The sequence below is a fragment of the Homo sapiens genome, chromosome 4 (genome assembly GCF_000001405.40).
Source record: "Homo sapiens chromosome 4, GRCh38.p14 Primary Assembly".
In the NCBI taxonomy this organism is placed as follows: Eukaryota; Metazoa; Chordata; class Mammalia; order Primates; family Hominidae; genus Homo; species Homo sapiens.
In genome coordinates this window covers 166,830,082-166,855,785 of record NC_000004.12, presented here as the reverse complement: position 1 = coordinate 166,855,785, position 25,704 = coordinate 166,830,082, and the positions used below count along the sequence as shown (strand labels likewise).

Genomic DNA, 25,704 nt, shown 5'->3' with positions numbered 1-25,704 from the left:
CACACCTAATGAATCAGAAACTCAAGAAACAGGGGTCCAGAAATTTGTGTTTTAATTACCCTCTGAGTGATTCTGATGTAAGATTTTCCTGGCACATGATGCATAAACTACAAGTTAAAGGAATTAAGTAAGGTTAAATAAGAGTGGTAGTAGTGAAAAGACAGTAAGAACCACATTTTTTGTTTTTTTTCTTTTTTCCTGTGCATACAAAATATTGAATAAAGGCATTTATTTTACAGCGAAAATATTTTTTCCTGTGTATAAAGAGTAGCTGACCCAATTTAATAAGAAACAGTTTGTACTACATGGAAAAATGTTGGTTAAAATTTCAGAGCAATCAGGAGCTGGTGCTAACCCTGTGTTACCAATAAAGATCAGCTGCTTTTAGGGAAAAAAATAGAGTCGCTTTGTCTCTGTAGGTGGCTATTTCTCTCTGCTCTCTTTGGTTTGTATATCACAGGTTGCTGTGAACTTAAGCTGCATTTTTTTTTATTTTTTGTCTGTATGTTTTAAAAATTTATGTTGCATTTCTCAATGAAATGTCAAGATCATAAAAATTTGTGTGAGAAGTGCTGAGCTGATTGTTGGGGGGTCAGGGGGAAACTTTTCTCTTGGCCCTCTGAAGATTTGCTGAAAATTCACTGACAGCAAATTTCACTGTTCTCTTTGACAGTGTATAAGTCTGTTCTGGTGTGGTTACATTCTGGTTTTAAAGGAAAAGGAAAACAATTGTTCGCAGGGATGGTTGTGGATCTTAGGCAGATAAAGGAACATCAACTTCTTTGAGACAGGCAGTGGGGCGGGATACAGTTAGAGACTTTGAGGATTCTTCAGTTCAGCATGTCAATGCATTACGGTTTGGAGTATTGGTTTCTGAGTCCCAACGTAATACTCCTGGTGATAACAGTAGAAAGAACTTTCCTAGCACTTGATCAACAGAAAAAATGCACTCACCCCTTAGAAGCTGCTCAGGGATTGTATGTATTTTTGTGTGTGTGTGAGTTTTGTCAACAGCTCATTAACTTATTAATTACCTCTTGGCTATTAGAATTCCAACTGGAAAACAGTTTTGCTGTATCTGAAACTCTCCAGCCTCTCTCCACCTCCAAAAATCCCCTTCCTACTTAATTGAGTCAACAGTATAATTTTGATAACATATTTTTCAGTAATTAAATTCTTAAGTTATATAAAAATAGCATACATTATTTTAAATATTATGGACAGTCTATAATATGATTGACAGAAATCTTGAGATGAATTATAGCTGATGATGAGGCTGTACATTTTTACAAAGTTTTTTAACAAAGAATCCAATTTATTGTAGCTATTTGTGTATTTCTTAATTATTCTGTTCAGTGAACAAAGCTGAACAAACAGTACCAAACATAATCTGTTAGTTAAATCAGGATTTGGACAATTGAAAATAGAATATGTTTGTATTTAAAATCAAATCACATATTTATTCAGAGTTTATTGTGTACAGATTACCATGTTAAAGTACTGTTGGAAAACAAAATGAATATCAGAATCCTCCTCTCACATCAAGAATCTGCACAAAACATGAACACCAATGCAATGAAATTCTAACATTCTAAGGTTTGCTGATGTAGGACAGTACTCTTCTTTGCTTTGGGAGGGAGAGTTTATTTACGTATAAGTTCAATATATCTATAATGGTTAGAATGCTACTAAGAAATGCAAAATATATTGAGTTGAGCTATGTGAAGTTGCCTTTTTGTAGGTAAAAATCATAGAATATCAGAAATTTCATATTGCTCAAACTAACATTGTTTTAAAAGGCTGATTTACATTTTGTAGAAAATGGTGCTTTGTTTTTGGCTAATTTTGTTATTGATTCTGTCTATGGCCGACTTTGGAGACCATCTTTTTTTCTTTTTTTTTTTGAGAGAGAGTCTTCCTCTGTCGCCCAGGGTGGAGTGCAGTGATGTGATCTCAGCTCACTGCAACCTCCGCCTTCTGGGTTCAAGCTATTCTCATGCCTCAGCCTCTCAAGTAGCTGAGATTACAGGCACGTGCCACCATGCCCAGCTAGTTTAGTATTTTTAGTAGAGATGGCTTTTTGCCATGTTGGCCAGGCTGGTCTGGAACTCCTGGCCTCAAGTGATCCACCTACCTCTGCCTCTCTGAGTGCTGGGATTACAGGAGTGAGTCACTGTGCCCAGCCCACCATACAACTGTTATTTAGTTCATTACCCATCCTGTAAAATGCTTTGAAAACTTCTGAGTGAAAAATTGAGAGAGAGTTTTAATGCCTTTGTGAACACCAAATTAAAAGGTGTTATTGTGACCTTGAATAGTTGTTTCAGTTTCAAAAGAAAATATGGTCCTCTATGAAAATAATTTATAAAAATAAGAGGAGATCAGCATGTAGGAAAAATTTTACGCTGCTTAATATTTCCATTTTTATGTTATAAAATTGATGTAAACCATTTAGAAAAAAGTCTTCATACTTATTCTTACAATAAAATAACTATTCACCTATCTTACATTTGACTTTGAATTTCACCTATTACCAGTTTTAGTTCTTCTTCTATTACTGTTTTTTGTGTTGAATAAATTTAAAAATATGTCTTAATTTTCAGAAATACTAGCAACCTATTTCAATATCTAAATGGATACAATTTTAAATGTGACATCAAATTTTAGATTTTTTCCTTTGAGAATTTGTAATTTTGGAGTTGATATTAGGTCTTTATTTTATAAAAGAAAAAAAATCACATCATAAAAGTAAGAAGAAAATAACCAGCCTAGAAACTGAGGTTAAAACTGAAAGCTGCTTACATCTAGTCCAAAGGTGGTCTCACTAATTCAGACTTTTACAGGCAGTTCATATACTTCTTTTCTCATGGTTATGTTAATATTTTAATACCAGCAATAAAATGTAACAGTTACCATTTTAATAATATGTTTTGAGACTTTCTTCTACTTTATTCAATCCCACACAATGTTTCCATATCCTGTATATACCTCTTTCCTTTAAAACCTCTGCTAACTTCTGTCATCTAAAGAATGAAGTTCCTAGATTTGGAAAGGGGAGGTTTATTTCTCATTAAGGTTTGTTGCATGCAGGGTGCCATACTGACAGCCTGGGAAGCATAGCCTCTGGTCAGAAGCTAGAAACAAACACTTTGAGGAAGGAAAGAACAAGATGGGGATTTGTGACTGGACAGAATCCCTCTATGGTTGGTGGTCTCTTATCAGAAAAGAATGCTAGTTGGTTGTTTTATGGAAACCACAGTAGAGCAGGGCAGTGTCAGGAGTGGTACAGGTCTTTCCAAAGGGTTCGTTTCTGTTTAACTCTTAGTGAAGAAAGCCTAATGGTGGTTAGGGATGGAGGGGGTTTAATGGGTCCTGTCTGACCTCCTATCCTATCATGGCAGCACCTCAGTTTTCAAGGTTTCTCTGGAATCCCCTTTGCCAGGAGAAGAAATTCAAATTTCTTTTTTTTAATTATTATTATTATTATTTTTATACTTTAAGTTTTAGGGTACATGTGCACAATGTGCAGGTTAGTTACATATGTATACATGTGCCATGCTGGTGTGCTGCACCCACTAACTCGTCATCTAGCATTAGGCATATCTCCCAATGCTATCGCTCCCCCCTCCCCACAACCCACAACAGTTCCCAGAGTGTGATGTTCCCCTTCCTGTGTCCATGTGTTCTCATTGTTCAATTCCCACCTATGAGTGAGAATATGCGGTGTTTGGTTTTTTGTTCTTGCGATAGTTTACTGAGAATGATGATTTCCAATTTCATCCATGTCCCTACAAAGGACATGAACTCATCATTTTTTATGGCTGCATAGTATTCCATGGTGTATATGTGCCACATTTTCTTAATCCAATCTATCATTGTTGGACATTTGGGTTGGTTCCAAGTCTTTGCTATTGTGAATAATGCCGCAATAAACATACGTGTGCATGTGTCTTTATAGCAGCATGATTTATAGTCTTTTGGGTACATACCCAGTAATGGGATGGCTGGGTCAAATGGTATTTCTAGTTCTAGATCCCTGAGGAATCGCCACACTGACTTCCACAATGGTTGAACTAGTTTACAGTCCCACCAACAGTGTAAAAGTGTTCCTATTTCTCCACATCCTCTCCAGCACCTGTTGTTTCCTGACTCCATCAGCTCCTTTAAGCACTTCTCTGTATTGGTTATTCTAGTTATACATTCTTCTAAATTTTTTTCAAAGTTTTCAACTTCTTTGCCTTTGGTTTGAATTTCCTCCTGTAGCTCGGAGTAATTTGATCATCTGAAGCCTTCTTCTCTCAGCTCGTCAAAGTCATTCTCCGTCCAGCTTTGTTCCGTTGCTGGTGAGGAACTGCGTTCCTTTGCAGGAGGAGAGGCGCTCTGCTTTTTAGAGTTTCCAGTTTTTCTGCTCTATCTTTTCCCCATCTTTGTGGTTTTATCTACTTTTGGTCTTTGATGATGGTGATGTACAGATGGGTTTTTGGTGTGGATATCCTTTCTGTTTGTTAGTTTTCCTTCTAACAGACAGGACCCTCAGCTGCAGGTCTGTTGGAGTACCCGGCCGTGTGAGGTGTCAGTCTGCCCCTGCTAGGGAGTGCCTCCCAGTTAGGCTGCTCGGGGGTCAGGGGTTAGGGACCCACTTGAGGAGGCAGTCTGCCAGTTCTCAGATCTCCAGCTGCGTGCTGGGAGAACCACTGCTCTCTTCAAAGCTGTCAGACAGGGACATTTAAGTCTGCAGAGGTTACTGCTGTCTTTTCGTTTGTCTGTGCCCTGCCCCCAGAGGTGGAGCCTACAGAGGCAGGCAGGCCTCCTTAAGCTGTTGTGGGCTCCACCCAGTTCGAGCTTCCTGGCTGCTTTGTTTACCTAAGCAAGCCTGGGCAATGGTGGGCACCCCTCCCCCAGCCTCGCTGCCACCTTGCAGTTTGATCTCAGACTGCTGTGCTAGCAATCAGTGAGACTCTGTGGGTGTAGGACCCTCCGAGCCAGGTGCGGGATATAATCTCCTGTTGCACCGTTTTTTAAGCCCGTCGGAAAAGCGCAGTATTCGGGCGGGAGTGACCCGATTTTCCAGGTGCCGTCTGTCACCCCTTTCTTTGACTACGAAAGGGAACTCCCTGACCCCTTGCGCTTCCCGAGTGAGGCAATGCCTCGCCCTGCTTTGGCTCGCGCACGGTGCACGCACCCAGTGACCTGCCCCCGCTGTCTGGCACTCCCTAGTGAGATGAACCCGGTACCTCAGATGGAAATGCAGAAATCACCTGTCTTCTGCGTTGCTCACGCTGGGAGCTGTAGATGGGAGCTGTTCCTATTCGGCCACCTTGGCTCCTCCCGAAATTCAAATTTCTTAGCATCACATTCAGAGTCCTTCCAAATCCAGAACCCTATTATATCACAAATTTATTGCATAGCACTTTAACTCTAGACATCTTTTATTCCATTCAAATTTTTTTATTAAAACATAGCAAATGACCCACATTGAGATACACCACCTTAGACACATTCATATGTCTACTGCCTACTGTCAAAAAACAGAAAATAATAAGTGTTGATAAAGATGCAGAGAAATTGGTACCCTTGTGTACAGTTGATGGGAATGTAAAATGATGCAATTGCTATGGAAAACAATATGGCAGTTCCTAAAATAATTAACAATAGAATTACCATATGATCCAGCAATTCCACTTCTGGGATATACCCCTGCAAAAATGAAAGCAGAGTCTCAAAGAAAAATGTGTAGATCTGTGTTCATAGTAGCATTCTTTCCATTATTTAAAAGGTGGGAAGCAATCCAGGTGTCCATTGAGAGATAAGTGAATAAACAAAATGTGATATATACATAAATGAAATATTATTAGTCCTTTAAAAAGTTAGAGAATTCTGGCACATGCTACAATATGGATGAACCTCAGGGCATTATGCTAATGCCAGTCCCAGAAAGATAGGTACTATGATTCCACTTACATGAGGTAGCTAACACAAATTCATTGAGACAGAAAGTAGAATGGTAGTTGACAGGAACTGGGGAAGTAAGGGTGAATGGAGAGTTGCTATTTAATGAGTACAGAGTTGCAGTTTTGCATGACGAAAATTACATTGTTGTAATTATACAACAATGTGAATGTACTTAATTCTACAGAAATGTGTGCATAAAAAATGATGATGCTGGTAAATTTTATGTTATGTGTATTTCAACACAATTAAAATAGATGTTTTATAATAGTAAATGAATATAGATGCCTTTAAATTTCTTGTTCTCTTATGAAACCTTCCCTGGCCAAACAAGTATTAAATGATTTTTCTCTAATTGTGCCTATTATTAGTGGTCTCTCCTGTGGGGTGCAGACTCCAAGTTACTTACATTACTTTTAATGACAAAAAAAAACCACACAATTACTTTTGCATCAACCAAATAAGACAATCCACTATAGTACAGAATGAACAGATTTGAATTTCTTTTTATTTTTACTAAATGAATTACCATCTCCTTTATATGTAATATACAGACTGACAGAAATATAAATGCACACACATAAATTATGTGTATAGAAACAGGAATGAATACAAAAAATTCACTGATCAAGATACCAGCTAGTTATCAGCCCTTTAAATTGATTGTATATACTATTTTTCTAACCTACTTGAAAGACTATATGCCTCATTTCAACAACCCATAGTCTCAATGACAAGGCCTGTGTTTTAGATATTCATGTATTTCTAAATTCTCTGAATATATTCATGTGAAATTAAAAAACAACAAGTTGGTAAAATGTTGGCTTCTTTACTTACACGATTTCTTGAGTTTCTGAATAAAATGAAGTCTAATGATGCCCATGGTGTTGGTAAATATTGAACAGCAATCAACGACATAGTTTACATCACCTGTTAGAATAAAGTAGTAAACAAAATTATCCATGTGATAGTACAGAAAGGGTACAACATTGCACTTGGAACTAAGGGAGTAACAAAAAGGAGGAAAACAGTAGCATACAGGGAGAAATTACACCAGGAACTATGCACATGCCCTCCTCAAACACTGGCCGGCTTGTTGGCTCCCAGAATCTTATCAGTGATCACCTGCACAAGCGCCTCACATTTAAGCTCTGAACCAAAGAGTAGCAAATGTAGATATAATATATTCTGTTAGTACATACACAAGAGTTCAAATGTTGGGTCACTTTTGTTCATCTGTTTTTGAAGGCAAGTACTTACTTCATGAGGTATCCAACCTGGAACACTCAAAGCACCTGGCAGCTCACCAAGGATTTCAAAAGGGAATGCTTTCCTAGTACATCCAGCAAAAGACACTTATTGACCATTTCTCTACATTGTGTTTTATATCTCAGAGCATTTCAAAACATCACTCTAGCAAAAAGAATTCTGTCTGCCTTAGAGCCAACTGATTGGCCCCAAGGATGCTGGAAACCCTGACAGAGGTAAACGGCAGGCAAATGTTTTAGTATTTTTTCCCCTTTTCCTCAAATTCAAAGTTTCTGACTCCCTTTTCTAGTCAACAAAAGTACATCTATGCTGTAGTCATTTGAAGAGTTAATTGATCAAAGCTCTACTGTACTCCATCAGTTTGTAAGTAACTTGCAATATGAGCATTTATAAACTTTAATGCAAGTAAATACTGAAATTATTATGGTAGCTATAATGTACTGCTTCAAAACTGAAGTTTGGCTTGTTATAATTTTTTAGAAGTTTCCATGAGAACACCACCATCCAACATTCTGAATTTTAAGAACTATTGTGTGTAATTTGTAGGAAACTTGATTGTGATTTGATTTTGGGTTACAAGCCAGATGGTTTCTAGCTTTGATTTTAGTAGGTTCATGAAATGTTCACAGAATGCAGATGATACAAATCTTCTGCCAGTTTGGCTGCATAACTAGAAGTCTTTGAATTATTACGTGCTTGACATCTGAATTATCAAAACTTTAGTGATGTTCCTTTTGTTTTTCTGTTTTATTTCATTGTATATAGAGCAATTTCTGCCTAATCAGTCTTTTTAAAGCTGACCTATACAGAGATGGCTGGTGTTGGATTATTAAAATAATCCTGAAAATTGTCATTGCAAGCTGTAAAAAAAAGTAAACATGATTCTTATATATATATATATATATATATATATATATATAAACTAGGATTTTCCTTTTGAATTGTGGCTTAATTTTACCCAAAAATGCTCTACTTTCTCCAAATTCTAGGACAGCATGAAGGTAGCTTACTAATGTGTTATGAGCATAATCTCCAGTGCTGCTCATACCATCACAACACTGTGTCCAGGTATAAATATCTGCATATTCCTGAACAGAGCATCAATGCTTTTTCCCTCAGAATTGCAAGTTTAGTGTATTCAGGTGCCTTATGATATTAGAAAATATAACATCTTGATATGTTGCATTCCTCAGAAACCTTTAATTTATATAAATAATTGGCCTGAAGGCAGAAATTCAGTAAATGTTTAACAAGTCTCCCTATACTACATATCTGACTGAATAATAAAATAAAAGGAATCTCCAAAGTTGCTTAGCTCCTCCCAAATGGCCTGCCAACTGGTAAATGAAAAGCACTTAGCTTGAAAAAGAAACTTACATCTGTCTTATTTCCTCCATCATATGACCAGACTTTTGCAGTACAGGATGACATATCAGTCTTCCATTTTGATGTAAATGAATGCTTGATTTTTGTTTTCTTCTTTCACTTTTCTTTTTAATAGATCTCTTGATGGCTAGTGGGATTATTTTGCTTACTCACAGGGTAGCATTTTACTTTTGTCAAAAGGCAACTTTTTGACAAAATTAAGCACAGGCTTTCTTCCTGTGAGATAGATTTGGTTTAATGTACTTTATAATTTAACCACATTTTTGGAACATTTACCTGGGTTGATACTGTTTTGTGTACATTTCTTGGAAAATCAGGAATCAATTTTCTTTTTAAATCTTCTGGTTCATTTCTTAAATATGTCATTAAAGACTACAATATTCTGTTAGGCTATTGAAAATTTTTAAATTGCCTTGCAAATTACCAGAGACCTAAGAAATTACACCCAAATCATTAAAATATAAATAAAACATAACACTACAGTATTAAGCTCTTATTATTTACTTAGGGTATTACAGTATACCAATTTCAGGTATGTGAATTAAAGTGAGCTAATGTCCAAAAATAAAAACAGGCTTTAAAGTATTTTACCAACTGTCTGACAAAAATGTATGACCAATGATGTTTTGGTTTGTGCCTCAAATATTAAACATTAGACATCTTTTTTGTCACTTAGGATGAATCACAAATATTTTTTCAACCATATTTATTCCTATTCACTGTTAGGATGTTTGGACTACAGTATTAGTCCAAATTAATAAAAAGGATAATCTATTAATCTACAATATCTAAAATTATATATGATAATATTACTTACATTTATATCATGTATTTTTTACATAATGAACAAATATGAATCTGTCACTTAAAAGGCAAATGATAGAAACATACTAAACATTTTTTTGCTATATTCTTACACCTTTAGTATATTAATAGCATTTCTCTAATTTTCCTTCTTAGCCATAATCCCTGGCAGACCAAAAAGAAGTCAGGTACCACATAACAACGTTTCAGTCAAGGATGGATGGCATATATAAAGATGGTCTCATAGATTATAATGGAGCTGAAATATTCTTATTTCCTAGTGAGGTTATAGCCCTCATTTAGTCTTAGCTCAAAGCATTACCTTTTTTATGTTTAGACTTGTTTAGATGCACAAATAGTTACCATTGTGTTTTAATTGCCTACACTATTCAGTACAGGAGTACAAACTTGCTGTGCAAGTTCGTAGCCTAGCAGCAATAGCTTTTACCATACAGGGTATACTCTCTAGGCTTAGGTAAGTGCATTCTGTGATGTTCACGAAAGGACCAAGTCACCTCAGGATGCATTTCTCATAACCTATTCCCATAATTAAGTGACATGTGACTGCATACCATTATACAGCTAATTTTATTGCATCTTAAAGTAATTTTTTGTCCCATTGCTTTAAAAATCACCTAGTTAATAACTTGGTGGGAAAAATTCAGAAGAGGGCTTTTTAGATTACGTGTTTGAAGTTGTTGAACTATTGCTTGGTAATTACAAAAGAGATGTTCTGGCCATTTGCAAACTGAGCTCCCAACCCTGTTTTCTACCCTCTGGTAAAGTTGGTTTGTTTGTTCTCCTAGAGACATTGTTTACAAAATAGAAACTACTTCAAAATTCCTTCAATCACTTAAACAGTACTCAGGAAGTATTTTTTTTCTGAAATATGAGAAAAAATATAAGATTATAAGTTATAGCACAAAGTGAAATATTTAACATAATTTAAAGCCACAATTAGATTTGTAGTTTTTTTGTACAAGGAAGTGTAGTTGTATAGGGCATACGGTTTTTCTGCTAAAATTTCATATGCCCAGTGTCACTTTTTTACATTAATAAACATGTATTAAAATGAAAAATTTATTTTGGTTTACCAATTGTTCTTTTTGCAAATGGTTCAGTCATAAATTGCTAATTATTATATGATTTCAACATTTTAGAATTATAAAATATGATTTCTTGTAGCTAATTTATCCTTATCTGTGATATCACAAAGATTCATAAATTATTTAATGTACAATATTACTGAATAATGTGGGTTACAGTAGAAAATTTTATATTGTTTAACATAATTATTTTAGATTATAGCAAATTCAATCATGTTTGTGAATTGTCATACTAGGTTACACCTATTAACAAATCTTTTACCTTTGATAACAGCACATGCATTTGTATTCTGCCTCAGCAATCCAAATATCAACAAAGAAAAAACCACGGACAGGTAAGATTAGAACCAGATATCACTAAGCAGAGAGCTATTTCAGCATATTTTGAGCAACTATAGTCAGGAAAAATGATGATAGTTACTCATTGTATATACACTGTATTAGCCAGGGTTCTCCAGAGAGACAACAAATAGGATCTAGGTAGGTAGGCAGGTAGATAGATAGATACATAGATAGATATAGATATAGATGTAGATATAGATATGTATAGAGATGTATATCTGTATAGATATGTATATCTATATCTACATCTATCTATCTTTATCTATACATATATCAAGAAAGAGACAGATAGACAGACAGACAGACACTGGCAGGCAAGACATCCAGAAAAGTGTTGCAGTTTGAGTCCAAGGTGGTCTGCTGGCAAGAAGTCAACCTTTTGCTTGTATGGTCTTCAGCTGATTGGACGAGGCTCAACCCCACTATGAAGGGTAATTTCTTTACTCAGAGTTTACTGATTTAATTGTTAATTGCATCTAAAAAAATGCCTTCACAGAACCATCTAGAATTATGTTTTATCAAACATCTGGATACCATGGCCTAGCCAGGTTGATTCATAGAATAGACTATGACATAAAGTATGTGCTAAGACATGTATTACATCAATTTCCTGTAGTCACTACAAAAATACTCTAAGGTAGGCATATCATACCCTATTTAAAGGTGGGGGAAAAGTGGTTAATATAAGTCGAGTAACTAGTAAATGACAGTGGTAGAATTTGAACTCAGGTAGCCATTCTGGTACCTTTTGTTTATTTGTTTTTGACCCAAAGAAACACAAGACATCAGTGGGCTTTTCTAAGTAACTTCCCAAATTGTAGTGGCTTAGAACCACTTTCAGTCTGGGCTGGCTCAGCCGCACTCTGTTGGCCCACATTGCGTTTATGCTTAGCTGGTTGCTGGGCTGGGGCTGAATTGTCTAAAATGGACACATTCACATACCTGGTCATTAGCGCAACGTAATCTGGGATGATGAGGATAGCTAGGCCATGTTTCTCATCACCTAGGAAACTAGCTCAGCCTTTTCTACATGATGATCTCAGAGTTTCAAGCCCCATTATTTAGGATGCTTTCAAGCCTCTGTTCATGTCACCTTTGGCAACATCCCATTGACAAAGGAAGTTACATTGCCAAACTAGAGAGAGAGACATGTATTATTTTCTTATTGCATAACAAATTACGACTTAGTGGCTTCAAACAACTTGCATTTAGTACATCACAGTTTCTGTAGATTCAGAGCCAACTGGATCCTTTGCTTGAGTACTCACAAGGCTGCAATCAAGCATGGGCCAGGGCTAGGGTCGTGTGGGAGTCTCAGGGCTGTCTTTCAAGCTCCCAGATGGTTGGCAGAATTTATTTCCTTGAAACTACAAGATTCATGGTGGCTTATTTTTTCAAGACGAGTAAGATAATTTTTGCTGCTGTATCTTGTCCCTTAATTCTACACCATTTTTAAATGACTCACTATTAGGTGAGGTCCAAACGTACTGATGTCCTTTTTGATTAACTCACAGTCAGCTGATTAGAGACTTAATTGCATCTGCAAGATCCCTTCACCTTTGCCAGATAACATAATCTAATCATGGTGAGAGGGGACAATGTGCTGGTGGCCGTCGCTCGCTCTCAGCGCCTCCTCTGCCTCGGCGTCCGCTCTGGCCAAGCTTGAGAAGCCCTTCAGCCCACCTCTGCCCTGTGGGAGCCACCCTCTGGGCTGGCCAAGGCTGGAGCTGGCTCCCTCTGTTTGCGGGGGGGTGTGGAGGGAGAGGAACTCGCGGGCCAGTGCTTGTTCTGGGTGGGCACGGGCTTGGCGGGCCCCGCACTCAGAGCGGCTGGCAGGTCCTAGGCAGTGAGGGGCTTAGCACCCAGGCCAGCAGCTGCGGAGGGTGCGCCAGGCCCCCCAGCAGCGCCGGCCCACTGGGGACACGCTCGAATTCTCGCCGGGCCTCAGCTGCCTCCCCGCGGGGCAGGGCTCAGGATCTGCAGCCTGCCATGCCTGACTGTGGGGTCCCCCGCAGCCCAAACCCCCTCGATGGGCACCATCCCCTGCTACACAGCACCCGGTTCCATCTACTGCCCAAAGGCTGAGGAGTGCAGGCCGGCAGTGCGGGACTGGCAGGCAGCTCCGCCCACGGCTCTGGCACAGGATCCACCAGGCGAAGCCAGCTGGGCTCCTGAGTCAGGTGGGGACTTGAAGAACTTTTATGTCTAGCCACAGGATTGTATATGCACCAATCAGCACTCTGTGTTTAGCTCAGGGTTGGTGGATGTGCCAATCAGCACTCTGTAACTAGCTACTCTGGTGGGGACTTGGAAAACCTTTATGTCTAGTTAAGGATTGTAAATACACCAATCAGCACTCTGTGTCTAGCTCAAGGTTTGTAAACACACCAATCAGCACCTTGTGTCTAGCTCAAGGTTTGTAAATGCACCAATCAGTGCTCTGTGTCTAGTTAATCTGGTGAAGACTTGGAGAACTTTTATGTCTAGCTAGAGGATAGTAAATGCACCAATCAGCACTCTGTGTCTAGCTTAGGGATTGTAAATGCACCAATCAGCACCCTGTCAAAAGGGACCAATCAGCTCTCTGTAAAATGGACCAATCAGCTCTCTGTAAAATGGACCAATCAGCAGGATATGGGTGGGGCCAGATAAGGAATAAAAGCAGGCTGCCAGAGCCAGCAAAAGCAACGTGCTGAAGTCCTCTTCCTCACCGTGGAAGCTTTGTTCTTTTGTTCTTTGCAATAAATCTTGCTGCTGCTCACTCTTTGGGTCCGCACTGCCTCTATGAGCTATAACACTCACTGCAAAGGTCTGCAGCTTCACTCCTAAGGCCAGGGAGACCACAAACCCACCCGGAGGAATGAACAATTCCCGACGCAACGCCTTAAGAGCCTTAACACTGACTGAGAAGGTCTGCAGCTTCACTCCTGAAGCCAGCGAGACCACAGACCCACCAGAAGGAAGAAACTCCAAACATGTCCGAACATCAGAAGGAACAAACTACAGACACACCATCTTTAAAAACTGTAACACTCATCGCAAGGGTCCACGGCTTCATTCTTGAAGTCAGTGCAACCAAGAACCCAACGATTTTAGACACAATGGGAGAAATATTTCATCATAGTCACTGATGTTGCTCGTACTCAAGAAGGCATCATATAGGCTGTACAGAGCAGGAGGTAGGAGTGTTGGAGAAGTTCTTAGAATTCTGCCTTCCACAGGCACAGGGGAAGATTTGTAATATTACTTTGCAATAACATGTATGCAAAAGGGCATTTATGGACATTTTTATAATTTTCCATAGTAAGAAATGAAAGCAAATTAAGGAAGGCCATATTTATAAGAACTAGTGAAAAGTGACAGACACAAAAATAAGAGCTAGAAAGTACAAGAAAACTAAATAGGTTTAAATTTGGAAGAAGCAGAGAATGATTCCTTATTTTTTAACAATAGAAGCCAGTGCATAATGTAAAATAATCTTTTTTTCTTACTTTAAGAAATTTTTTTAAAAATTATTGTAAAATGACAATTTGTAATTCTATAAGTCTATGTGAAATTGTTTTTCTTTTGCTTGCATCTACACTTATTATTCTTATTCTGTGACATCCTACTGGTATGGCTAACATCTGGAACTCCACAGACAGAAATGGAAATGATTGAAGAAATTAGGAATTGATAACTGACCTTCAGTTAAATTGCCACAGCTCCTTAAAGCGTTTTTGCACCCACGTTTCTAGCGTGTTTATGTCGGTCTCCAATAATTGAAGAGGTAAACTTCAGACCCACAACACTTAGGCTTGCTTCTTTCCTCTCAAAGAATCACTCTAAAATTAGTAAAAAAAAACTTCTGCGGGCCGGGCGTGGGGGCTTACGCCTGTAATCCTAGCTCTTTGGGAGGCTGAGGCTGGCGGATCATGAGGTCAGGAGATCGAGACTATCCTGGCTAACACGGTGAAACCCCGTCGCTACGAAAAATACAAAAAATTAGCCGGGCGTGGTGGCGGGCACCTATAGTACCAGCTACTCGGGAGGCTGAGGTAGGAGAATGGCATGAACCCGGGAGGCGGACCTTGCAGTGACCCGAGATTGCGCCACTGCACTCCAGCCTGGGCGACAGAGCGAGACTGCATCTAAAAAAAAAAAAAAAAAAAAAAAAAACTTTTGCTTCTGGGAAGATGAATTAGACATAGCTTTTCCTATTCCTTCTCTTAAGTGCAACTAGAAATTTGAAAATTATGTGTCTGAAAATCATGAGTCTGAAATGTAGGGAGAAGGTGGACAACTAGCTAGGGACCTCAGGAACCAAGGAATAGGTGAGTTCCCTGGTTTATTTTATTTTATTTTATTTGCATTGTATAAACAAGACTTGGAGCTGACAAACTAGAAAACCCAAAAACTAGAAAGCCCAGAAACATCAGATATGATGAGCACAGATAAACAAACAGAAAAGTCCAACTAAACCCTTTTCTCTTTGTAGCCAAAGGGCAAGGACAGGTAAAGCTAGGAAGAGAGAAACCTTTAGACAATAATTGCTCTCTTGCATCTAAATAAGATTTTAAAAATAATGTAGACGATATTCACCCAAATCAGAGAAGGCTGAATGGGGAACCTGTACTTTCAGCATTTTCAAGTGATTGTGAAGCACCTCAACTATGTCCCAAAGTACTATGAAAAAATGCTGTGTAGGGAGCTGGAATTTTCCTCTCCACTAGGTGGAAATGAGTCTCCCTACACTCAAGTGTCAATACAAATCATACGGAGAACTTAGATTTCACTTCCGCTGGAGATAATGAGGTACCACTACTTTTTCCTACTGAAGATATTACTGGGAATTCTGCATTGGGATAGACCCTTTAACTGAGGAGGTCAATGGAGCTGAAGCTCTGGGCCACCAATCTCAGTTCTTGTGATAGTTAGCAAAGAATTGCAAACACTAAAACGCAAGCTCAAAGCAAAGTTTATTGAAGCACAGTAATACACCCTCAGAGGGAGAGTGGACAGATTTCCCCGAAGTGAAATTAGCCCCTCTTTACAAAACCCAGGGGACTTTTATGGGGGTTTTCTGGGGAAGAGTTGTGGTTTGGGCTGTGTCTGAGTGACAGGATGATGGCATTTGATTGGCAGTTTATGGTTATATAGCTAAAATTAAACTGTGCACATTCATACCCATAATTTGTTAAGAAAAGCCCACAGGCAGGAGGTAAAACCACATGTAAATTGATTATAATGATGGTAAATGAGCTTAGGGTGAACTTGAGGACACAGTTCTATGTTACTTGACCTGTGCCATTTTAAGAGATTTTCCCTAGTTTTTCGTTCTCCGTGATGTGCTGGCCACAGACTTTACCAGGAACTTCATCCATTAGTGTGGAGTTAGGGCAGTTCTGGGACTCTCCTTAAGTGGGCTGGCCATGGTCTGCCTTAGTGACAGCCTTTTTTGCCCTCTTCTCTTACCCTGTGCTAATGTCTATCTAACTACCAAACAGAGTGGTATAAGAGGAAGTCTAGTGGAAAGTCAAGACTTTCACTACCACCCAGTGGTAATGAGACCCCTTCTTCCTGTTGTCAGTGGAGGTAATTTTAGCAACAACAATGAGACATTCCATATGAGTGGTGGCCTACTAAGGAATAAGAACTCCCCTCTCACTCATCCATAACCAGGAGGCACAACTCCTCAGGGTCAACAGTGATGAAACAGTGAAGCAGGCTTCTGACACCACCTGGCAGTAATGAGATGGTGGCCCTCTGACTTCTGCCAGAGCAGTGTCAGAAAAAGCCAACTAAAATAGAACTATGAATCAGATCCAGAGTCTTACAAATTAGTACCCCAAATGTCTAGGTTTCAGTAGGAAGCTGCTCATCATTCCAACAACCAGGAAGACAACAGACTGAATGAAAAATGTAACCACAGACACTAATCCTCATAAGATAGATATGTTAGAACTATATGACAAAGATTTTTTTTTTTAAGATGGAGTCTTGCTTTGTTGCCTAGGCTAGAGTGCAGTGGCACAATCTCGGCTCACTGCAACCTCCGCCTCCCGGATTCAAGCGATTCTCCTGCCTCAGCCTCCCAGGTAGCTGGATTACAGGTGTCTGCCACCACGCCCAGCTAATTTTTTGAATTTATTATTATTATTATTATTAGAGGTGGGGTTTCACTGTATTAGCCAGGATAGTCTCGATCTCCTGACTTTGTGATCCGCTCACGGCCTCCCAAAAGTTCTGGGGTTATAGGCGTGAGCCACCACACCCGGTCTATGACAAGGATTTTAATGTAGCAATGATAAAGATATTTCAGTAACCAAGTATGAACATACTTGAAACAAATAGTTTTTCTAAAGTCCCAGCAAAGCAATAGAAAGTCTCAGCAAAGAAATGGAAAATGTAAAAAAATAACCAACGGAAATTCTGGAATTAAAAAATATAAAAACCAAAATAAAAAACTCAATGGATTGACTCAGTAGCATAGTGTAGGAGACAAAGGAAAAAATAATCAGTGAACTTAAAGATAGAGTAATAAAATTATACAATCTAAGCAACACAGAGTAAATAAACCAAAACAAAAAACAACAAAAACACCCAGATCCTTAGGCATCTGTGAGACTACCACAAAAGACCTAACATTTATGTCATTTGAGTCTTTGACAGAAAAGGAAAACCAAGTGGAGCTGAAAAAGTTTTTGAGAAAATAACAGTGGAAAATGGCACATTTGACAAATGACATAAACTAATTCAAGAAGCTGAGCAAACCCCAAACAAGATAAAGCTAAAGAAATCCACACCAAGACAAATCAAAGTCAAACTTCTGCAAAACTAAAGATGAAGAAAGAATCTGGGAAACAATGAGAGGAAAACAACATTTATCTATAAAGGAAAAACAATTTGTTTGGCAATGGACATAACATTAGAAACGATGAGGGCAAGAAGAAAGCAACACGATATATATCATGAGATGAAAGAAAAGAACTGTCAACCCAGAATCCTTTGTCAAGTGAAAATATCTTTCAAGAATTAAGGGAACATCAAAACATTTTCAGATGAAGGAAACCTAAGAAAATTTGTAGCAACCACAGCTTCCATAAAAGAATAACTATAGGAAAGTCTGGAAAAAAGAAAGAAAATGCTAAAGGAAACAATATTGAAACATCAGAAAGGAAGAAAGGACATGGTACAAAAAAGTAAAAGTCAATAAAATTGACTTTCCTTTTCCTATTGAGTGTTCTAAATTATGTTTGAGGATAGAAGCAAACATTATAACTGTCTAACGTGATTCTAAATGTCCACAGGATAAAGAAATATTTACGACGTTATATCTCACATAAGGGAAGGTAAAGTGATGTAATGGGAAGTACAATTTCTATAGTTCTTTACAACTAGTGAAATGATAATATCAGTGCAATCTATTGATGCTTTGTATATATAATGTAATGGCTAGAGCAAGCAGTAAAAAGCTATACAGGCCAGGTGTGGTGGCTCATGCCTTTAATCCCAGTATTTTGGGAGACTGAGGCAAGAGGATCACTGGAGTCCAGGAGTTTGAGAGTAGCCTGGGGAACATGGTGAAACACCATCTCTACCTTAAAATAAAATAGAGCTCAAGTCCAGAAGGTATTGGTGGGCTTATTCTGAAATTATTCACAGGGGCATTGAACTATTAAGGTTTAATGGCTAAAGCTGGTGTGTCTAACTTCACACTACTCAGAAAGAAAAAAACCAAAACTTACACACCTAAAATCAGCCAAGAATCTTAAAGACTTCCCAATCTTTAAAGAAGAATGAACAAAACTCCTGCCAACTTTTTATAGATGTAATAAGGAAGGAGAAAGTCCTCTCTGGGCACTTATTAAAGATGGTGAGGCAGTCTTTATTCAAGAGGTGCCATTGCAACAGGTATAGGAACCATGGCAATGAGGTCTTGCAATGGGAGCGAGATTGAACTCAATTCCAAATACAGTATGGACAAGTGGGAATTGATAGCCAAGTAGCAAGGTCCAGTTAATGAATGGAAAATTACTAAGATAAAACATCAGGAGTAAGGGAAATTTTTGTTTGACTCATCAGAATTATCTCTGAAAGTAGGCCGAGGTAATAAGATACAGATGGTAGTCAGATACCAAGATCGGGGAATTTTCACTAAATTGATTTAGCAGAATTCTTTCTCAGGCTAAGGTCGAACCTGGTCAGAAAGTACTCAAAGGAGAGTTACTAAAGGTTTGATGGAAAGAGTCTTTTCAGGAATGGAGTGCCAGGTTCAACAGAAATCCATAGGGCACTAGATGAGGCAAAAACAAAAACCACTCCATAGGGGCCATTTTTACCACCTAGGAAATGGAACTGCCACAAAAAACAATCTTCACTGAGGTAAATTCACAGGGCAAAAAATCTCAAGTCACATAAGAAAAAATATGTCAGTAGATTCAACTAAAATAAAGCAACAACAAAATTTCCTCTCAACCCCTACAAACAACGATGCCTTGTGGCAGTTTTAATATAAGTTCATTGTAGTTGTTTATTTATGCCATTAAAGAAAATGAAAAGAATGGGCAACCAAAATATTAGTAATATGCTATTTTAAAAATAATTCTTAGAAAGCTGAAAAAAATGATAAAATCGTGTTGAGAATTTAATACATGAATCTTTGTTATATTATTCTTGCACTGTTTTGTTCTTTAAGCTTTCAGAAAATAACTCAAAAGACTGAGAAGGGGTACTATAATTAGCTAAAGTACCCAGGATATAGTGGGTCCTCACTTCATCTATTTATTAGACACAGACAACTTGAGAGCAGAAAGACCAGGATAAAAGTTATAATAAAATTGTACTCCGCTAAGATTCATATTGTTAACATAACAATACACTTTTTTAAAGGCATCTCAAAGGTTTCAATAGTAAAACAGAATTTTTTGTGTGTGTGTGTGTGAGACAAGAGTTTTGCTCTTGTTGCCCAGGCTGGGGTGCAATGGCATGATCTTGGCTCACTGCAACCTCCACTTCCCAGGTTCAAGCGATTCTCCTGCCTCAGCCTCCTGAGTAGCTGGAATTACAGGCATGCACCACCACATCTGGCTAATGCTAATTTTTTTATTTTTAGTGGAGACAGGGTTTCTCCATGTTGGTCAGGCTGGTCTCGAACTCCCGATCTCAGGTGATCCGCCCACCTCGGCTTCCCAAAGTGCTGGCGTGAGCCACCATGCCCGGCCAAAACAGAATTTTTTGAACGAATATTTATATTGTCTCATGAAATTCCTCTGGTGATGAAGAAAAAGTGTCTACAAAGGATAAACAACGTTTAGAACCCACAAACGTATAGCCCACTGAAGCTAAAATACAGAACAACATACAAGATAACTAACAAATTAGTTAAGAAATAGTTTGACAGAAGAGGAATAGTGAAGGTTTCATACAGATGTATGAAAAATGAAGGCCTAGTTTCACATTAGCTATTCCCTTTCAGCCTTTTTTTGAATAGTTTAAGATACAACACAAAAAATAACTTCAGATGTTTAAAAAAATAAAGGATTTGTTTTGTTTCCTTTGGTGTCTTCTACTTAAATATTGTTTTTGAATATTTCTAACAAAATGCTGATGTCATTGTTGACACTAGAATCATTCTTGGCTTTATGAATTCTGTAAATAGACAAAAGTTTTTTGAACATTATAATATTTAATAGATGTTTAAATTGTAGGAAGAAATAATCTCAGCAATGATAATAGTTCTTTACACTCTAAGGTATAAGTCAGTATAGCCAATTAGTTCAGAAACCTTTACTATTCTGTGATGAGTAACAATTTTATAGATAAATGTAAGACATCGTTACTATTAACAGTACTTATATAAATATCACAGTAGAATAACAGAAAAATATTTTTATTGGTAATCGGTTTATACTTTGCAAATTCAGATTTTTACATATTAATGGTAAATCTTCATAGATCTAGTTCAGGAAGAGTAAAAACCATCCAAATTTACCTAGGAAAGTGTTGGGATAGTAAAACAAAAAATAAAGATTTGTTTATATAACTATTATTGAGAAATCAGAGTACAGTGGAAGTACAGATTGATCAAAACATAGTCAAATTTTTCTAATTAAAAGAGAGATAAAAAAGATGGGGGAGAAAGAGAGAGAGAAAAACATTACTTAGAATCCCTAACTCAAAAAAACTTCTCAAGCAAAATATAGAATTCTGTGGTCATATATATTTTGGGAAACGGGATTCATTTTCTAGACTAATATTTTTGTTCAATTTGTTTGTTTTTTCTCATCTAATTTCCAAAACTATTTAGCAGTTCAGATATTTTGTGAAACACACTTGAATAAAAGATACCAAAGAAAATGTCCTATTAGACTCACATGAGAAAGCAGACTTGGGCTTCTCCTTGGCAGTAGAAAGCGCTAGAAGAACAATGGTTCCCAATTGAATTTTCTCACCTGACCATAGAGAAAAAGCCTGGTACTCTAAAAATTTTTAATCTTCTTGAGCTCATCAGAGAGCAGTGGTGGCAAAGCCATCAAATAAACTGAATTTCAAAGAGAAGCAAGAACTCTCCAATGAAGATAGGCCACAGGGCTGTTTCAGATTTGGCAAAGCGTGTGAGAAAAAGGTGGCTACCTATGAGCGATCAGAAGCTGGGGATTTAGGTGAGTTAGCAAAGCCCAATTACAGCAAGATGAGTTGGTTTGAGATGCTTGGGAGCCACAGAAACAAAGAGAGTTTGCAATCAATTCTAGGTTATTTTCCGTGGACTTTCATTGGTGCTCAAGAGAAATATCTGAGACAGGGCAAAAGACCAGAGAAGTGTGCAATAGTGTTAAGTCTCTGGGGGAACACATTTCTCTCACCCCTCCTCCCCAAAGCAGGAAAAAAACTCTTGATTCTTGGGGAGGAGTAGAAGGAAAACGTTTTTGCTCTGAGTAAGATATTGGAAACCGTCTTAGCCAGTTTCCTTCAAAAGCTGAAGTAGAAGCAAAATCTCTCTACATGAGGAAAGACAAGACCACTCTTGAGCAGAGGAACAAACCGCTCTTGAGCAGAAGAACCACTTTTCCTCCAAGAGGGGGCAGGTGACATGACATGTGCCCAAACGCAACCACAGATAGAAGACAGAGTTTGGCTACCACTGGGAGGAGAAGCAAGAATGCTAAAAAGGACACACCACAGGTTCTAGGTGCACCAGGCAAGACTAAGAGATTTAACTAATAAGCCATTAGTGGAGAAAAAAGGATATCATAAAAATTCAGTTAATTCAAAAGGCAGAAAAAGAGGCAAAAAAGAATGGGGAATATGTGGGGCAAATAGAATGTAATGAGCAGTATGTAACTAGCACATGGTAGCTTTAAATCCAACCATATTAATATTACTATAAGTGTAAATGTAATGCCAAATGTGTTTGCACCTAACAACATAATTTTAATGCACACGAACCAAAAACCGATAGGAACCAAAAGGAAATACACATACCCACTATTAGAGCTGGAAACTGCAACATTTGCCTCTTAGTAACCAATACTACAAAAATTGAGAAAATCAATAAGTTTATAGAAGACCTGAATAATACTATCAACCAGCTTGACATAACTGACATTTATTGAACATATCACCCCAAAGAGCAAAATACACACTCTTTTTAAGTGCACACATGATAGTCACCTAGTAACCCATATCTGGATCATTAAACAAACATCAACAGAATTGAAATCATGTGATGTATATTATCTGACAAAAATATAATTGAACTAAAAATTATTAAATATTTGGAAATTAAACTTCTAAATAAGCCATGGATTAAAGTGGTAGTCACAAGTGAAATTAAAAAGACACACACACACGTATATAATATTTGTTTGCTTTTTTAAAAATGATATCAACTTTAATTTTAGATTCAGGGGTACATGTGCAGGTTTATTACATGAGTATATTGCATGATGCTGAGGTATTTGGTACAATCAATCCTGACACCCAGGTAGTGAGTATAGTACCTAATAGTTAGTTTTTCAATCCTCGTCCACCTTCTTCCCACCCCACTCTAGTAGGACCCAGAATTTATTGTTGCCATCTTTATGTCCATGCTTACCCAGTATTTACCTCCCACTTATAAGTGAGAATATGCACTATTTGGTTTTCTGTTCCTGCATTAATTTGCTTAGGATAATAGCCCCTAGCTGCATCTACGCTGCTGCAAGGAAATTACTTTGTTCTTTTTCATGACTGCATAGTATTCCATGATGTGTAAGTACCACATTTTCTTTAATCCACTATTGATGGATCTCTAGGTTCATTCCATGTCTTGGCTATTGTGAATAGTACTGCATTGAATATACGTGTGTCTTTTTGGTAGAACAATTTATTTTCTTTTGAATATATACCACTAATGGGGTTACTGGGTTGAATGTTAGTTCTCTTTTAAGTTCTTTGGAAAATTTCCAAACTGATTTCCACAGTAGCTGAACTAATTTATATTCCCACCAACAAAGTATACATGTTCTCTTTTCTCCTCAGCCTCACCATCATCTGTTGTTTTTTTTTTGATTTTTTAATAATAGCCATTCTGATTGGTGTGGGATGGTGCCTCATTATTGTTTTGCTTTGCATTTCTCTGATCTTGGGCATTTCATTGCTGGCTAGCCATATTCAGAAGAAAGAAACTGGACTCCTACCTTTCACCATATACAAAAATTAACTCAAGATCAATTAAAGATTTAAATGTAAGGCCTCAAACTAAGAATCCTAAAAGAAAGCATGGGAAACATCATTCTGGACATTGGCCTTGGGACGTAATTGATGACTAAGTTCTCCAAAGCAATTACAACAAAAACAAAAATTGAAAAAGGGTACCTAATTAAACTAAAGAGCTTCTGCACAGCAAAAGACACTATCAACAGATTAATCAGACAGCCTACAGAATGGGAGAAAACATTTGCAAACTATATATCTGACAAAGGTCTAGTACTCAGAATTTATAAGGAACTTGACAAGCAAAAAACAAGTAACCCCATTAAAAAGAAGACAAAAAGCATGAACAGATGAGTCTCAAAAGAAGACACGCGAGCAGTCAAAGCTTTTCCCTTAAGAACTGAGAGAAAGAAGAGGAAATTAAATATAAAGCAAGCAGAGGGTAGGGAATATTAAAGAGAAGAGCAGAAATAAATGAAATTTAAAAAAAAAAAAACAAAAATGGAGAACATTGATGATACCGAAAGATGTTTTCGAAAAAAAAAAAAATAGGTCCATATAATAGACAAGACTACTCAGATTGGTCAAGAAAATAAAAGAGAAGACACATATTACCATTATAACCATAGATGTTATTTAATAGGATAATGAGAGTATGTTGTGAACAACTAATTTCAATGAATTTGATATGTTAAATGAAATAGACAAATAATTTAAAAAGCATAGATAACTAATGCTTACTCAAGAAGAAATTCATATCTTGAATAGCCGTATATCTTTTTTATCCTATATAGTTTAATAAAATTTAATTTGTAATTAAAAACTGTCCCACAAAGAAAACTCCAGACCCAGATATCTTCACTGGCAGGTTCTAACAGACATTTAAGAAAAAACAAAAAATGATACCAGTTTCTACCCCAAATTTGCTAGACAATAAAAGATAAAGAAATACATGCCAGCTCCCCTTATGAGGTTAACTCTTTGTGTTGACACAACTTACTATGTTAAATGAAAGCTACAAACATTAATAAGCAAAATCAAAAATGACTTAACAAATTCAGATATATATACCATGTTAATAAATCTGAAGACTCAACATGGCTAACATGCCATTTCTCCCCCAATTTTTCAGTAGATTCTACACGATAACAAATTAAAATTCCTACAGATTTGTTTTTGATATTTTGCTAGTTTGTATGTTTTTGGTAGAAGTTGAAAAATTGATTCTAAAATATATATGAAAAAGCAAAACAGAACAGGCAAAATAATTTTGAAAAAAAAAGTGCTGGAGGGCTCACATCACCTCATTTCAAGATTAGAGATAATTTTTAATGACATTTTTACAAACCAATGAAGAAATTACAAAAGAATTAAATAGTTTCTTCCTTGAGGAAGTTCTCTAGCTTTTTTTAGATGTTAGTCTGTCCTTGGTCCTACCTTGTTGATCACACTTTCCCAAAAACATAGGAAAATACCGAGAAGATATGATTGTCGGATCTTTTTTTCGAGCGGGGCGGGGAGGGAGACAAAGTCTTACTCTGTGCCCAGGCTGGAGTGCAGTGACACGATCTTGGCTCACTGCAACCTCTACCTCCAGGGTTCAAGCAATTCTCATGCCTCAGTCTTTCAAGTATCTAGGATTACAGGCATATGCCACTAATTTTTGTATTTTCGGTAGACAAGGTTTTTGCCATTTTGGCCAGGCTGGTGTTGAACTCCTGGCCTCAAGAGATCCTCTTGCCTCAGCCTCCCAAAGTGCTAGGATTTCAGGAGTAAACACTGCGCCCTGCACTTGTCGAATCTTAATATGATACAAGCTGAAGAAGAATGGTTCCTTTAATGAATGATACAGTGAGATTCAGAATTGTTAAAATAAGTTATGAAATATGTTTAAAGTAACAAGTTTTAAATGAAGAGAAACATTTATTTAGACTTATATTCAGAGTCCTAAAAATCATTTCTGAAATGACAAAATAAATGATCTGATTTGAAAGCAATTCATGTAAAAAACAAATTTACTTATAATAGTTTCCAATATGCAAATTAAGAGACAACAGTTACTATTAGGTTATTAAGGCAACCTTGTTTAATGGGAGTGTCTAGATTAGGATACGCAAACCATAGAGTAGAAAGGGTGGTGATTGAGAGATATCTTACGTAAAATGAAGAGTGG

The 25,704-nt window shown here is 37.4% G+C and overlaps 1 protein-coding gene across 12 annotated transcripts in view, besides 1 other annotated feature; it reads left to right on the top strand.

Moving 5' to 3' along the window:
- The window catches only part of SPOCK3 (SPARC (osteonectin), cwcv and kazal like domains proteoglycan 3), a 501,562-nt gene that overhangs the window by 379,160 nt on the left and 96,698 nt on the right, over positions 1-25,704 (top strand). The gene's annotated exons all lie outside the window — the stretch shown is intronic.
- Positions 15,837-16,136: an enhancer, noted in NCBI's record as "active region_22122". NCBI's record gives its function as "activates an Ori minimal core promoter by ATAC-STARR-seq in GM12878 lymphoblastoid cells {active_cell/tissue: GM12878}" and the evidence as "EXISTENCE:reporter gene assay evidence [ECO:0000049][PMID:35858748]".